At 38.4% G+C, this 16,941-nt stretch overlaps 1 long non-coding RNA gene across 1 annotated transcript; it reads left to right on the top strand.

Annotated features, from left to right (window-relative positions):
- Positions 1-1,043: 1,043 nt before the first annotated feature.
- LOC107985168 (uncharacterized) lies at positions 1,044-11,735 on the top strand. Its single transcript, XR_001753427.1, has 3 exons — positions 1,044-1,328; positions 9,147-9,280; positions 11,663-11,735. It is a non-coding gene; the product is annotated as an uncharacterized LOC107985168 (long non-coding RNA).
- The last annotated feature ends 5,206 nt before the right edge of the window (positions 11,736-16,941 follow it).

Genomic DNA, 16,941 nt, shown 5'->3' with positions numbered 1-16,941 from the left:
GAATTACCATTTGACTCAGCAATCCCATTATTGGGTATACACCTAAAGAAATATAAATCCTTTTAATGTAAAGACACATGCTTGCATATTCTTTCATGTTCATTATAATAGCAAACTATTTCAGACTGAAAATAGGGATATGAAATCTACCTAAATACCCATCAATGGTATAGACTGAATAAAGACAATGTGGTACATATACACAATGGGATACTGTGCAGCCATAAAAAAGAATGAGATCATGTCCTTTGCGGCAACATGGATAGATCTGGAAGCCATTATTCTAAGCAAACTAACACAGGAATAGAAAACCAAATACCTCATGTTCTCATTTGTAAGTGGAAGCTAAACATTGAGTACATATGGACACAAAGAAGGGAATAACAGATACCAGGGCCTACTTGAGGGTGGAAGGTAGGTGAAGGGTGATATTTGAAAAACTACCTATTCTACCTATTGAGTAGTATGCTTATTACATGGGTGACAAAACAATCTGTACACAAAACCCACATGAGATTCAATTTATCTATATAACAAACCTGGATATATACCCCTGAACCCAAAATAAAACAGCTAATCAATCAATACATAAAATAAAATTAAATAAGAATGCAATAAAAGTTGAAAGATGAAAAATAAGATAAAATGGAAAATTAGAGAGAAATTTGTAAATATTGATAAATGATGTGATTATACATTTGGAAAATCCAATAAAAGTAATTTGAAAAACATTAAAAATAACAACATACAAAAAATCTGTATGTTTTCTTTATACCAAGTTATAGTATTAGAAAATATAAAGAGAAAATGTAATTTGTAAGAATTGCTTAAAATATAAAATACCTGGAAATAAATGCAAAAAAAAATAATTTTGTCTAGGATGTCAATGATAAACTACCAAAAATTGCTGGGAGACATGATTTTAAAAATTAGTAAATGAAGATATCTATTCCTAATGGTTGAAAAAACTCATTTTAGTATTATACATACGGGAATTATCTGTACAGTAATTTAAAAATTTAATGTAATTCTGCTCAAAATCTCAATGGCCATTAGGCGGTATGAACTGTAATAAAGTAATTATTAAATTTATTCCCGAAATAAAATAACTAAAAATATCCAATATTTTTGAAAAAGAATAGTGAGAGGCTCAGACATTAGGCATTAAAGTCATAAAAAGGTAGAACATTAAAACAACATGATGCAAACATGAAGATATAATTGTTATTCAAGCAACCATTATCTCTCTTCTCCTAGAACCTTCCACTTCTATCTTTGTCACCCTGCAATTTGTCCCTGACCCAGGCAGCTGGAAACATCATTAGAAGGTAACTACAAATTATATAATACTTTCATTTAAAAATGCAATCACCAGTCATATGTTGCTTAACAATGGGGATATATTCTGAGAAATATGTTGTTAGAAGATATTGTCCTCCTGTGAACATTATAGAGTAGTGCAACCCACCTAGTATAGCCTGCTATACACCTAGACTATAAGTTATAGCTTATGGCTCCTAGGCTACAAACCTGTACAACATCCTACTGTACTGAATATTGTAGGCAATTGTAACACAATGATAATATTTGTGTATCTAAAGCTATATAAACCTATCTACACATAGAAAATGTGCAGTACAAACATGACATCAATGATAAAAATTGGTATACCTTTATAGGGCACTTACTGTGAATGGAGCTGACAGGACCGGAAGTTGCTTGGGGTGAGTCAGTGAGTGACTAGTGAGACTGTGAAGACCTAGAGTATAACTGCACACTACTGTAGACTTTATCAACACTGTACACTTGGGCTACCCTAAAGTTATATAAAATTTATTTCTTCAGTACTAAATTAACTTTAGCTTACAGTAACTTATTCATTTTCTAAACTTAATTTTTTATAACTTTTTAGCACTTTGGTAATAACACAACACAAACACATTGTAGAACTGTACAAAAATATTTTATTTCTTTGTATCCTCATTCTAGAAGCTATTTGAATTTTTAAAGTTAGTGTTATTGTTTTTTTACTTTTTTTGTTTAAAATGAAGACAGCTGGGCATGGAAGTTTATGCTTGGAATCCCAGTGCTTTGGGAGGCCAAGGTGGGAGGATCACTTGAGTCCAAGAGTTGGAGACCAGCCTGGGCAACATAATGAGACTTCGTCTCTACAAAACAATTTTTTTTTTTTAATTAGCAGGGCATAGTGGCACATGCCTGTAGTCTCAGTCACTTGGGAGGCTAAAGCAGGAGGATGGCTTGAGCCCAGGAGCTTGAGGATACAATGAACTATGATTGCATCACTGCACTCCTATCTAGTTGACAGAGTGAGACTACCTCAAACAAACAAACAAAACAAAAAACCTCCCCAAATGAACTCACAAACACACACATTAGCTTAGGCCTATACAGGGCCAGGATCATCAATATCACTGTCTTCTCCCTCCACATCTGGTCCCACTGGGAGGGCCTCCAGGGGCAGTACTAGACATGGAGCTGCCATCTCCTATGATAACAATGCCTTCCTATGCAATAATTCCTGAAGAAATGCCTAAGGATGCTTTATAGTTAACTTAAAAAAAAATAAGTAGAAGGAGTATACTCTAAAATATCAGTAAAAAGTATAGTTTAGTAAATACATAAACCAGTAGCCTAGTTGTTTATTATCATTATTAAATATTATGGACAATACATAATCGTATGTGCTGGACTTTTATTCTACTGTTGGTGCTGTAGGTTTCTTTACAACTGCATCACCAAAACCACATGAGTAATACATTGTAGTATGACTTTAGGTTGGCTACAATATCATATAGACAATAGAATATTTTCAGCTCCAGTATAATCTTAGGGGCCCACTGCTGTATATGAGGTTTTTCGACCAAAATGTTGTTATGCGTGCATGACTGTATTTGACCACTTCTTGTACACTTAGACATATGAACTAAACTCATCCTCATGCCTCAGGTCTTAGCCATCTTGCTTACTCAGTGCCCTGCACTCACCTGCTCCTCCATCAAATGCTGGGCTGTTTCTACCCTCCTGGGGGCTTCAGTGTACATCAGTTACCTGGAATGCTGTTCTCCACCTGATTCACCTCTGCTCATCCCTAAGACTTCAGCCTAAACATCACCTCCTTTGATAGTCTCTCCCTAGCTGATCTTTAGTCTATCTAAAGTAGGCACCCTTCTTACTTTCTACTGTGCTGTCCTAATTATTTGCTCCTGACCATATTCTGCTCATTTACTTGTATGTCTAGTTGTTAGCCTGTATACTTGGAAGTCTGTCTGTTTAACTAGAAGTTAGGCTTTGTGAGGTCTACAAATTCAGAAAGAACCAGCAAGTCTTGTGGCAAGGCAGGCTTTCCTCTTGCTCACTTCTGTTGCAGAAGGAGATGACTGTAGGTGTATTAGTCTATTTCCACACTGCTAATAAAGACATACCTGAGACTGGGTAATTTATACAGAAAGAGATTTAATGGACTCATAGTTCGACATGGCTTGGGAGGTCTCACAATCATGGCAGAAGGCAAGGAGGAGGAAATCACATCTTACATGGATGGCAGCAGGCAAAGAGAGAGCTTGTGCAACGAAACACCCCCTTATAAAACCATCAGAACCCATGAGACTTATTCACCACCAAAAGAACAGAACAAGAAAGACCCGCCCCTATGATTCGATTACCTCCCACTGAGTCTGTCCCACCGCACGTGGAAATTGTGGGAGCTACAATTCAAGTTGAGATTTGGGTGGGGACGCAGCCAAACTGCATCAGTGGGCAAAGTCAGAAGACACATCCTGTACTGCTGGGACAGTGTGCCCAAGATGATCTAGCAACTCTTTGCTCCAGGGGGTCATCACTACAGCTCCTGTGGGCTCTGCCTCAAATTAGGGATGATGAGGATCAGTGTCCATTCTCTCAGGGAACGTATTTGTTCTCCTATTCACTTATCCCACCGTTCTCTGATCATTTTGTTTTAGAAAAGTCCTTTCTTCTTAAAGTCTTTAATTTTACTTGAGTCCTGTGCTCTTAAAAAAGAGTAAATGCTTAAGAAATCCCCTCACCCTTTTGTATTTAAAATCTCTGATTTATTGTCCCATCATCCTACCACCTTTCATCCCACTATCCTATAGCTTTGTTTCTTCCCTCCCTCCCTCCCACTTCCTCCCCCCCTCCCACATCATCCCTCCCTCCTTCCCTCTCTTCCTTCCTTCCTTCCTTCTTTCCTTCTTTCCTTCCTCCTTTCCCTCCCCCACTCCCTTGTCTTACTCTGTCACCCAGGCTGAAGAGCAGTGGTACAATCATAGCTCACTGAAGCCTCTGAACTCCTGGGCTCAAAGGATCCTCTGGGCTCAGTCTTCCGAATAGCTGGGAATACAGGTCTCCCACAACACCTGATTAATTTGTTTATTTGGTATGTTTTATTGTAGAGATAGGGTCCCGCTTTATTGCTTTGTTGCACTGGCTGGTCTCAAACTCCTAGCTTCAAGAGATACTGCTGCCTTGGCCTCCGAAAGACTTGGTGTTACAGGCATAAGCCACCATGCCCCAGCCTGGAATTGTTTTTTATTTGATATTTTTCTCTTTCCCTCTCAAGTACTGTTGATTTCTTTGGCCTTCTCCTTAAATCCTGTTCTCTTTTCATTCTTTTGCAATAGAGTTCACTATTCCTTGGAACACAGATCCCAAATCATTAGCAATTCATACAGTAAAGGAAGGAAGATATAATCTTTCAATCTCTGCCATATGACAGAAAATATGTTGAGTTCATCATTCTGGAACAAGAATAAAATGCAAAAAAGTGCTTTTTTACTAAAATTAGTCTATATATTTACTCTAGCTTGCATGTATCAAAGATTTTATAATATACATTTCCTTTAATCCAATCACTCCACTTACAGAAGTTGTTCCAAGGAAATACTATGATATAACCAAAATCTGTTTAAAATATACATATACTTTTAGTGTTACTTACAATGACTAAAACTCTGAGAGGCAAAAAAAAAAAAACCCAATCAAAAAGAGAGTTGGAACATTCATAGAATGGAACAATCTTTAATAATTTATGTGCAAAGAATATTTTGTGGCATGGAAAAATACCCATAATATATTAATAATATATAAATACATAATAAATGTAAACAGGATAATTTTAGTTTTAGAATAATGATTGATATATCTATAGTTTATATTTTTGTATTTTATATTTATCCATTTTTTTATATTTAAAATATAATTTTCTACTTTTGAAAGCATTCTTTTTGTTAAACTTCTAGAAAACATGTAAGGTGTTAATTGTTTCTGTATCTTCTACCCACAAAATATGCCCATCTACCAGCTCCACAAAGTTTTTTGCCTTGTCTCACATATATGAAAGGTTATTTTTCTCTCTTTGCCTCTATCTTTCGTTATCTTGTAGAAGTCCCTAGCAGCAGTGAAAACACAGTTGAGAAATAATGGTAACAGGCAACAAGGAACCTATCACCATTAAGATTCTTGAAATTGTATGAGAAGGGTTTAAGGTTGCTTGCAGCCTGGATGTAAGAGGTGGAGACACAAGAGGTCACATTTGCCTTTGTGCAAATCTAAAATCCATTGGGTTGATCCTGGAGTTGTTAAATCTTCTCTCCAAGTAGAAGCTGAGCCTCTGTATTTTTACTTGTCAAAAAGAACTATCCAAACCGTTCTACTTTGCCCTCATAGCAGTTCCTAGGTAAGTGAAGTCTACTCTTATCTACTAGAAATATAACACTAAATTTGAGATTATAGAGGTGGCATAGCAATACTAAATTAAAAAAAAAAAGAACACACCATCTCAAAAATTAGTTTAGGATAGATCAATAAATTAAATCTGATAGTCAAATTTTAAACATTTTAGAAGAAAATAAAGACAAATCTTTTTATGACTCAGGATAGGTATAACGTATTTTCTAAATAGCACTCAAAATGCTAAATTATAAAAGAAAAGTCAACAGATTCAATTGCATTAAACTTAAATTTCTTGTCCATAACAAACTCTCTTTTAACAAGAGAATAAAAGGCAATTCATAAACAGAGAGGAGATGTTTGTAACTTATGTATGTAAAATGTGTATCTAGAATATATAAATGACTTTTGCAAATAAACAAAAAAGGACCAAAAAAAAATCCAATAGAGAGAAACCAACAGAAAAGAAATGACAAATAACAAGCAAACTTATTAAAGACCAAATGTTTTAAAAAGGCAAAGGCCCCATGATATGGTTTGGCTTTGTGTCCCCATCCAAACCTTATCTGGAATTGTAATCCATAGGTGTTAAGGGAGGGAGTTGTAATACCCACGTGTCAAGGGAAGGACGTGATTGGATCATGAGGGCAGTTTTCTCCAAGCTGTTCTTGTAATAGTGAGTGAATTCCTAGGAGATCTGATGGTTTTATAAGCTTCTGGCATTTCCCCTGCTTGCACTCCCTTCTGCCTCCTTGTGAAGCAGGTGCCAGCTTCCCCTTCACCTTCCACCATGATTTCAAGTTTCCTCAGGCCTCCTAGCCATGCTTCCTGTTAAGCCTATGAAACTGAGTCAATTAAACTTATTTCCTTATAATTACTCAGTTTCAGGTAATTTTTTTTTTTTTTTAGAGACGGAGTCACCTTCTGTTGTCCAGGCTGGAGTGCAATGGCATGATCTCGGCTCACTGCAACCTCCTCTGCCTCTGGGGTTCAAGTGATCCTCCTGCCTCAGCATCCCAAGTAGCTGGGACTATGGGTACAGCCACCATGCCCAGCTAATTTTTGTATTTTTTGTAGAGACAGGGCTTTACCATGTTGGCCAGGCTGGTCTTGAACTCCTGATCTCAGGTGATTCTCCCACCTCAGCCTCCAAAAGTGCTGGGATTACAGGCGTGAGCCACCAGGCCTAGCACAGGTAGTATTCTTTATAGCCATGTGAGAATGAACTAATAAACCCTACCTATATCTGGAATTTCATTCAAATAATTTCTATTGAGTTCCCTACATATGCAACTACTGTGGATGAAAGAGAATAACCTGCTTCTTGCCCTCCTGTGGTTTACAATCTGCTGGGGAGGGAGACCAACACATTAATGTAAGATGACATGTAAAATGTTCTATAGCAGCTTTGTCCATTGGAAACATACTTCAGCCACATATGTAATTTTAAATTTAAATGTTCTAGCAGTCACATTAGAAGGGTAAAAAGAAACAAGTGAGACTGATTCCAATAATATATTTATTTTGACAAATAAATTCAAATTATTGTCCAAAATATTATCATTTTAATATGTAATCAATAAAAAATGGTTAATATGATATTTTAATTTTTTAAATATTAAGTCATAACAATCCAGTCTGCATTTTACCCTTGTAGCACATTTCAATATGGACTAGCCACATTAAAAGAGCTCAGTAGCAACCTGTGATTAGCGGCTACTGTACCAGACAGAACAGGTCTATAGCATGGTTACAACTAAAACGTTGAAAGGGTTGGAAAGGGATATTTTGAATTTGAGCGTTCAGGAAATTTCTCTTGGGGATATGGTGCTTCAGCAGTGGAGGGAAGAGGTGAGACACAAGAGGTCACATTTGCCTTGGTGCAAATCTAAAATCATCTATTTTAGATGCCTGCATGAGAGAAGTAAAGATAGTAGGAAAGGCAATGCAGGGAGTGGCAGAGCATGAACTAGAGAAATGCAGTGTACTGTACGCCCACTGTGGCTGAAGTGGGCAGTTTATGGGGTGAAGGGAGAAATCCAGACAAGGTGGGAAAGCTGGTCTAGGTGTAGAAGGCCCTGAATGACTAATTGGCGATTAATGATTATATTCCATATTTGTTGTTAGTTTTCTGAGGGTATTTTAGAATGAGACCTATGACAGTAGTGTGTAGCAAGGACAGAAAAGGAGGTAAGCCAGTAGCAGGAATGTCAATTATGACAGTCTGAGCCATCCCAGCCAGTGGAAATGAGGGTCTGGCCACAAGCATTCAGAGTACAAGCATGCGGGACATTATAGGCATGGATTTGGCAGAATGTGGCTCATGACTGGATAGAATGGGAAGGAGAAGTCCTCAATGCCCCTAGGTCAGGGACTGACCCACAGGGTAGTGAGTGAAGGAGAGGATGGGAAGGTTGCTTTTAAATAAATTAAGTTTGAGGTACATATCCGAAGAAAACTAATATTTTATTAGTGAGAACACAAAGGATGTTGGGAAAAAAATTAGTTCAATCTTTTACTTGAGGAAACAGACCAATACAACAGTTTGGTGTTTAAAATATATATATATATGTGTGTGTGTGTGTGTGTGTGTGTGTGTGTGTGTGTGTGTTTATAATTCTTAACAAGAGGACCTATGTCCAACTCTGTCCCAGTTTATGTCCATCACAATGAAAGGAAATGACATATAAGGTGGTTGCTTGTAAACTTACACATCCAAATTCTTGCTCATTCAGACTTTATTATGAATATCAGGTCCTAATATCTCAAGTCACCCAAATATCTCTGTTTATTTTGGGAAGCAACTAAAATGTAGAATTTCCCTTCCTGTATTCTTCCCTCACCCCCTTCCCTCCTGTCTTCCCTCCCTTCTCTTTCTTAAAGCATTGGCCCCTTTTATAGCTTCTTGCAACCCTCCCTCCTTGACGAAAGAACAAACTTTTCTAAAGAAAGCTAGTCCCTAGCATACTCACGCCCTTTAGAGATTTCATCAGCTGCCTATGACCTAGTTAACCACTGATTTCCCACTGAGGCAAATTTAGTGAAAGTCCCACAGGCCCTCTCACAGGGAAGCTCCTGTTCAGCTTGTGGTGTCTGAAGAGCTGTGAGCAAGTGCCCAGGGTCTTGGCGTCTGCCTCAGCATGGGTAATTTATGAGTCCCCAGCAAGTCAGCCAGAGGAGGAGAAATCCGGATAGGGGACCCTGCTAATTGGTCCTTTCAGTTCCTGGCAGGCACTACTGGTGGGAAGCTCCTGGGCTCAGACTTCTTATGTCCTTTTCAAAACGCAGGGAGAGAGCATAGGTCGACAAATTAAAAAAGAAAACAAGTTGAAAAACCCCTCAGCTCTAAGGAGAGGCTGTCATTGGCTTCACCCAGCTGTGTCGCCATCTCCTGACTACGGAGGAGCCATGGGACCAATATTGGCTTTTGTTTTGTGCAGGCTAAACAGAGAAAACACATCTCCTGCTATAGAGAGAGGAGTCGGGCCAGTTGATTTGGACCCACGTGTTTCTGATTCATAAGAAGTTCAGCAGCTATTTGGAGCTCAGGTGCGGCAAGGGGCAGCAGAGAGAGGTGAGCTGCCAAGACACAATTGAACCCTGGTCTGCAGTTGTGGGGTCTATACCAGGAGCCAGAGATAAGGATATCAAATTACCATCGAGAACTTCATGAGGATGTGGCAAGTCCTTTAAAAGGACTAATGGTGCATTGTAGCTCTGCCCTTGTCAATACTCGCATCTAAAATAATGAGAACGGCCTTTACCCTAATTGTACTGCTAATTCCTATTTTCCTGCCCATTTTCTACCACACATCCATACCTGTACCTACCCAGGTATTATTTAAATATGACCCAGCTTCAGCTGTACAAAACTGAGGGCAATTGAAGCAGGTAGGGTGTGAGCAGATGTCCTTATGGAATGATTCATTCACTTCACCCCTAGAAATGGCCTCTAGCTCAAGGACGCATTGAAGAAGCACATAGTTTAGGTTGCAAACCAAAGGATTACTGGCATTGCACCCTCTCTCTGAGTCCCAAATAGAGAGAGAGATGATTACAGTTACAACAAACACAGGTGGAAATAGTTGAATTTCCTTTAAAGCCTTTTAAACCTACACTGGCTACTGAGGAAAAAGAGAGATTGGAAGTCTGCATTGATTGGGGTTATGAGACAATTCAAATTAAAAATTGGGTTGGACTGGAAGGTAATTTCCCTTGCAGAAAGAATTAATTGTTATCTTTCTGATAGTATCATGGCCAAACAATTCTGGACTCAATATATGTGATTAAGTTAGAAGTTGTTAAATTTGAAGAAGATACTGAACACAATCTCCTAACTTTGCCTGATACTATTAGTAGAGCATATTATTATTTAAATAATATTTTTATATTTCTTATCTGATTTTTTATTTTGAACAATGCTAAGAGAAGGTAATAATAATTATTATAATACCTTACTTTTATTGATTAACTACAGTGTGCCAAGCACAGTGTTAAAAATTACTATTTTACCTATAATGGCCCCAAGACTAATAGGTATTAATTCAATTTAGTTTTGGATGCTTGTTGAGTGAAAGTTTATAAATATGTGCCAAGAGATTTGACTTTTCAGCTCAGGCCTTAACCATCTAACCAGTGCTGTGGCTCTAGGCAAGCCAGTTAATATTTCTAGGCCTCAGTTTCCTTTTCATAGACAACAACTTATATTCAGATGACCCTTAAGAGTGTATTATAAGCTTTCACATTTGTTATTCCACCTTTTTAGCTAAAAGGTATAAGATAAGTGTCTCTTTTACAGATAAGGAAACTGTGGCCCAGAGAGAATAAGAAACTTGTTTTAGATCACAGAGCCCGTGAATGTGTATGCTTCGACTTGAACTCCAGGTTTCCAATACAAGATGTTATGGAATTTCTCCTTCATCTTGCCCCCTTCAGTGTTATCACAAGGCTAATATTTTAAGATTTCACCCTGTGATGTTTGATGACCTGAGGAATAATATGCAATTTTGGTAGAACTATAAATAGTGAGGCGTTTGCTTTTGAAAGCATTGGCTTTGAAATGCTCTACTGGATTGAAAACTCCATCTCCTCTCTTTCTGGCTGAGGGCAGTCTCCTAAACCCTCTAAACCGATGTGTCTTTATCTAATTATGATAGTTATGGTAGAGTCTCCTGCAGAGTATGGTGGGACAGTAAATCTGAGGCCTTAGCTCAGTGCCTAGAATTCTTAGTACACATGATCAATATTAGTTTCTGCTCCTATCATACAGAGGACACGGTGAGGTAGAAACCAAAGAACCAAAGCAGGACTCCCCTCTGGAGGTGGGGCTCAGACACCAGGGCAAATTGAGGACCAGCTAAAACAATGCTGGCAGAAGCAGCTTTTCATAAGACATGCCCACCAGTGTGCCATGTGAGTTTGCCACTGCTACGGCAACTCCCAGAAGTTACCACCCTTTTCCATGGCAGTGACCCCATGACCTGGAAGTTATGACTCTTCCTAGAAATTTATGCATAAACCACCCCCTAATTTGCAGGTAATTAAAAGTGAGTATAAATAAGACAGCAGAACTGCCTCTGAACTGCTATTCTGGGCACACTGCCTATGGTGTAGCTCTGCTCCACAAGGAGAAGTGTCTCTGCTGCTGCTCCTTACTGCTGCTCCAATAAAAATTGTGAACGCCACCAGCTTATCCTTGAACTCTTTCCTGGGAGAAACCAAGAACCCCCTTGGTCTAAGCCCCTGTTTTGGGGCTCACCTGCCCTTCATGAGAGGGTTTTTGCTGCCTAGCCACATAGAGGCTGCCAGTTTTGGGGATGCAACCCATCATGTACCTCAGGGCAGGGAAATGAGCCAAAGGAGCTACCAGAGCTGTAGTTCCCCAGGAGGAAAAATTAATTCTTTTCTCTGTGTTCTTGAGATCATGACCATATTAAATTAAATTATTCCATTGCAGTTCCCAAAGAAGCAAAAAAATACCAGTCCCATCACTTTGCACCATTAGAGAAACTGCCAACATTTCCATAAGGTACTCTGGCTGTGGGCTTCTGTAGTGTTCATATATTGATTGTTTTCTTTTTAAACTATTGATTGAGTGTCTATAGAACATTGTAACATGTCCACTGATGTGCAGTGACATGGTGGGGGTCTTTTTTTAAATATTATTAAGCACTGGGCACATTCTTCCTGTCTGTGTGTATCCATAGCTGCAATTTTAATAACAGTAAGAAAGGAGAAGAAGAAAAAAAAAAAAACCATGCCTGACACAGTCCAGGATCAAGATTCTCTTCTCTTGCAATCTCCTTTGGAATTTCTCAAAGTCCAAAATGCAATCACTCCTTTGAGGAAATTTGGAATCAATCAATATATTTCATCATTGCTTTAATTATCCTTAAAGCTGTTTGAGGACCAATGTTTCCTGCGTTTGGAAAATAAATGAATAAACAGAATCTTCATTGACACCCAACTCATTCTCTCTTTCACTCAAGGTAGAGCTATGGGCAAATACACAATATAAATAAATTATTTTTTGTTTCTTTCTTCTCTCCTTCCTCTTACTTCTCTCCTCATTTTCCCCTTCCCTTCCCTTCCCTTCCCTCCTCTTCCCTTCCCTCCCCTCTTTTCTTCCTAATAAGGAAATTAGAAAGTGATTTTCTTAGGGCTACATAAGCAGCAGGTGACAAGGCACTGAGCATACAGACTGATTCTGGAATTCAGTGGGAAAGTAGAAAGTGAAAGAGAGATGAGGATGGGTAGAATTAGTGAGGCAGAGGGATTAAGTTCCAGAATTCATCAAATGCATTGTTCAGTGCATTCATGGTAGATAACAGGACACAGGCACTAGACAGTAAACATGGAGCAAACAGCACAGGAGAAAAAGTTGAAATTTTAAAGTATAGACCCTCTACTTTGGCGCCAAGCTTTTTGTTTCCTCACTTTGCTGTAAAATACATTTCATTTTTTTATACGTACGAACACACACATATATACATGCACAATACATAGCTTAGTTTCTCAGTGTAAGGCAAGTTCTCCTGACTTACCACCCAGGTCAAAAAAATGAAACTACCCACCCCAGAAGTCCATCCATGGACTGTGTCCTAACTCAGCCCTTCCCTTCTGCCACATGTACTGTCTTTTCTGACTTTCATAGTAATCACCTCCATGTGTTGCTTTATAGTTTATCACCCAAGTGTGGATCTCTAAATTAGCTTTATCTTGCCTATTTTTAAACTTAATATGTCTCTTTTTATCTATAAGTTCTCCTTTCAGCCTCTTCTTGTCTTTATAATTTATCTGCTGAAAACTCTTAGGTGTTTGACCTATAGAGAGTCTCCCGTGGTCTGTCTGCTGCTGAGAGGAGACTCTTGGTACAGTTCAACATGTTCCACTGTCCTCAGAATTTCCTACAAACTGGCAGTTGGGTCCAGAGAATGGATCAGACTTGGGCTCAATACTGTTGAGTCAAACTCCTTTATCTGTATATTAAGGTGGCATAAAGTATAATATATAGCTTTGCTTTATAGTTTTATTTAAAATTATCTTGATTAGGGAGTCCTGATGCTTTCAGCGTTCTCTTTAATTCATGTCCTGTTAAAATCAACAAAAAAATTAACTACTAAATAATTCACTCTTTATTGATTCAAAAGATATTAATTGAGGTCCTGCTAGATCCTGGGCATGCTTTCCATGAGTAATACAAATTCCATGTTCTCATGGAATTTAGTTTCAGATGGAGAGAGACAGATCATAAACAAATACATGAATGAGTAAAATGCTAGGTGATGACAAGTGGATAAAGAAAACAAAGCAGGGCCAGGGAAATTGCAGTAGTGTGAAAACACTACTATTTTATATAAGGTGGTCAAAGAAGGCTTTATAATCAAGTAACATTTGAGTAGAGGCCTCCTTCCACTGGAAGAATAAGTCTGGCTGATATTCATGGGAAAAGCATTCCAACAAGAGCAAAACTCTGAGGGAGCCTGTTCTTGAAGTTTTGAGGAATCACAAAAGAAGCATGGTCTATTAGTCCGTTCTCATGCTGCTGGTAAAGAAATACCCAAGACTGGGTGATTTATAAAGAAAAAGAGGTTTAATGGACTCACAGTTCCATGTGGCCAGGGAGGCCTCACAGTCATGGTGGAAGGTGAAAGTCACATCTTACATGGCAGCAGGCAAGAGAGAATGAGAGCCAAGCGAAAGGGGAAACCCCTTATGAAACCATCAGATCTTGTGAGACTTATTCACTACCAGGAGAACAGTATAAGGGAAACCGCCCCCATGATTCAATTATCTCCCACCAGGTCCCTCCCACACATGTGGGAATTATGGGAGCTACAATTCAAGATGAGATTTGGGTAGGGACACAGCCAAACCATATCACATAGTAACTAGTAGTGAATATGTAACTGAGTCCAGTCTTGCACTACTCTCCCCACAACAGCCAGTAAGTTGACAGACAAGGTTTTGGGGCAAGGAAAGCAACTTCATTTACACAGCCAGCTAACCAAGAAGATGATAGAATAGCATCCTAAAGGATCACCTTAAGTTAGTAAGTATTAACTTCAGACTCCTTTTCATGTTAAGGGAAGGGAGGAGAAGAGGGAGTTGAGGCTAAAAGGTGCCCTAAGACCATAGACATCTGGGCACTAGTGAAGATTCAAAGAAGTTGTAACACTTCTTTGTTCTTCGTCAGTTGACTTTGGTTGGGATGAAGTAGATCAGGTCATAGTGTTCCTGTTAGTCTTTAACATTTCCTTATCTCCTCAGGAGTTAGTTTTGAGAAAGGGACTATTATTTTGTTTTAAAGCTGCACTGCAAGCTAAATTCCTCCTATAATTAGCTGGTTTACAGGCAAAGTTAAGCAGAAACTTTTAATCTAAAAGATACTACTGCTGGCATGGCTCAGGGGATGGGGGGTTGTGCTGCTCAGAGGCAAAATGGAGTCAGTATGCTGAGCCTCCCTCCACTGTTACAAGTATAGGAGAGACCAGGAAAGGATGGAGTCAGAAAGCCAGCAAGTGAACAGATCATGAAACATTTATCATGTATTCATTTATCAGAGCTTCATTTAGAACTTCTTATGTTTATGAAGCCTAATTTCAAGTACATTTCTAGAGACAGGGTTGGAATGGAACATATTATGATTTAGGCTTATGAAAAATGTGTCCAGCAATACAGGGGGTTTGAAGACATTGATTGAGTCACTATTGAATATTCTTAACTTACATACAAATAACTATAATTCAGGGAAGCATGCAATTGGCATTGCATTATTAAAGATCTTTTAGAATTCACTATAAACTATTTTTCTGATATAACAATGAAAACTTTCAGAAGTAGGTGGCAGATGAGCTGGACCTTGAGAAGGGTTAGGATTTAGAAGTCAGAAATAGGGGAGGAAATTCTAAGTGGAGGAGATGCCAGGCATAAAGTTTCAGAAATAGGAAGATAGAACACATTCTGTGAGTGGACAATGGATCCATTTGACTGGACTTGTCAAAGTAGTCGCAGGTTGTAAAGTCAGGTTCAGGTTAGAACTTGAACGCTACGATAAACAGTTTTATGTTTTGAAAGATAGAAGCCTAAAGAAGACATTTAAGCTAGCAAATGGCTTGATTAAAATGGAATAAGAGGGACTGGAGAAAAAAAGGAGCAGTGTTCAAACGACAAATTCATATAATAATATTTAAACTAGTACACCAATCCAGAGGTGAAGTTCTAATGACCTGAGTCAGGGTAGAGGAAACTTAATGAAAAGACTGAAGAGGCACTGAACATAAAATGGGACTTCAGTTAATAAAGGATAGGAGTGGACATATGTGCTGTAATTTCAGCTATAAGAGTTAAACAACTGTATATAGGAGCATAAATTATGAAGCAGGTTATACAGGCATACATACTGTAATACCCATATATTTGCCAGTATATGTATTGTATATATTTGCCAACTCCTTGCATCTTCTGTCTTGTTTTGTTTCTTTGTTTGTTTTTGTTTTCTTTCTCTCTGGAATCCTAGTTCTTTCTCTTTTTTCCCCTAAATTTCTGAAGCTTCTTACTAGCATAATTTATCTTACTTGGATTCTAGATGAATCCTTTTAGAAGCTAGATTTTTCCACTGCTTCCACCAAACACATTTCAAAACATTACCCATCCTGAGTGCCTTTTTTAGAGCTCTCTTTTTTAAAGTGACAATGAACCATGTAGTGGTAATAAACTTAAATACTATAGTACTTTTCTTATGTAACATATGTGAACACCACACAGACATACATGCACACACACACACACACACGCAGACACACGCCTGCTGAGAATGCTTAGATTCACTAGAAAGTTCAGGAACTGATGAAGACAAAGAAAAGACATTCTGTGACTGTTACCTCTTTTTAATTCACACAGCATAGGTAACCATCCGTAATATGCTAATTCTGCAGGGGGACAAAATAGTTTGGTGGTTAAGAAAAGCAGCTCCTGGAGTGGTATTGCCTACACTACAATTCTGTTTCCAATCTTACGAACTGTGAAATTGGGCACACGCCCTGAATCTCAGTTTCCTTATTCTGTGAAGTAGAATATTTATGTTAGTTACATTGTTGTTCTGTATTAAGGATTATCTAAGGTTAATATATGACAACAATTAGAAGTGAGATGGGCAGGACAAACATTCAATCAATGTTAGATATTTTGTCATATCAGTAATCCTTAAGGCTCAATCTCTACCAAAAACATAGTGAGCTTCATGTCACTTTCATGTACACTAGGATACCTATGAAAAGCAACTTTCAGGTGGGTACAGTGGCTTACGCCTGTAATTCCAATACTTTAAAAAACCGAAGCAGGAGGATTGCTTGAGTCCAGGAGTTTGAGACCAGCCTGGGCAACATAGAGAGACCACCTCTCCATTTAAGAAAGAAAGAAAAGAAAAGAAAAGAAAAACTTATAATTCACTATGGTTGATGCACAAAATTAACTTCAATAGCAATCTTGTTAAACCCCCAATCACTCAAGACATTGGACAATTCATCGGTGGTTTGTCTAAGAGGTGCTATGATAGTAAGAGCAATAAACTGCTGCAAAGTATTGGTTCTGCCATTAAAGAGCTGTGCAACTGTGGACAAGACGTTTTACCACCCCTGTCCCCCATGACTTCAAGTGCCCCATCACTAAAATGAGGGAGTTGACTACTCTCTAAGATTGGCTCTCAGGCCAGTCTTGCTATGTTTTTATTGTTTT

Source organism: Homo sapiens, chromosome 18, assembly GCF_000001405.40.
Source record: "Homo sapiens chromosome 18, GRCh38.p14 Primary Assembly".
Classification (NCBI taxonomy): domain Eukaryota; kingdom Metazoa; phylum Chordata; class Mammalia; order Primates; family Hominidae; genus Homo; species Homo sapiens.
Note: the sequence above shows the minus strand (reverse complement) of the source record. Positions and strands in the feature narration are given on the sequence as shown.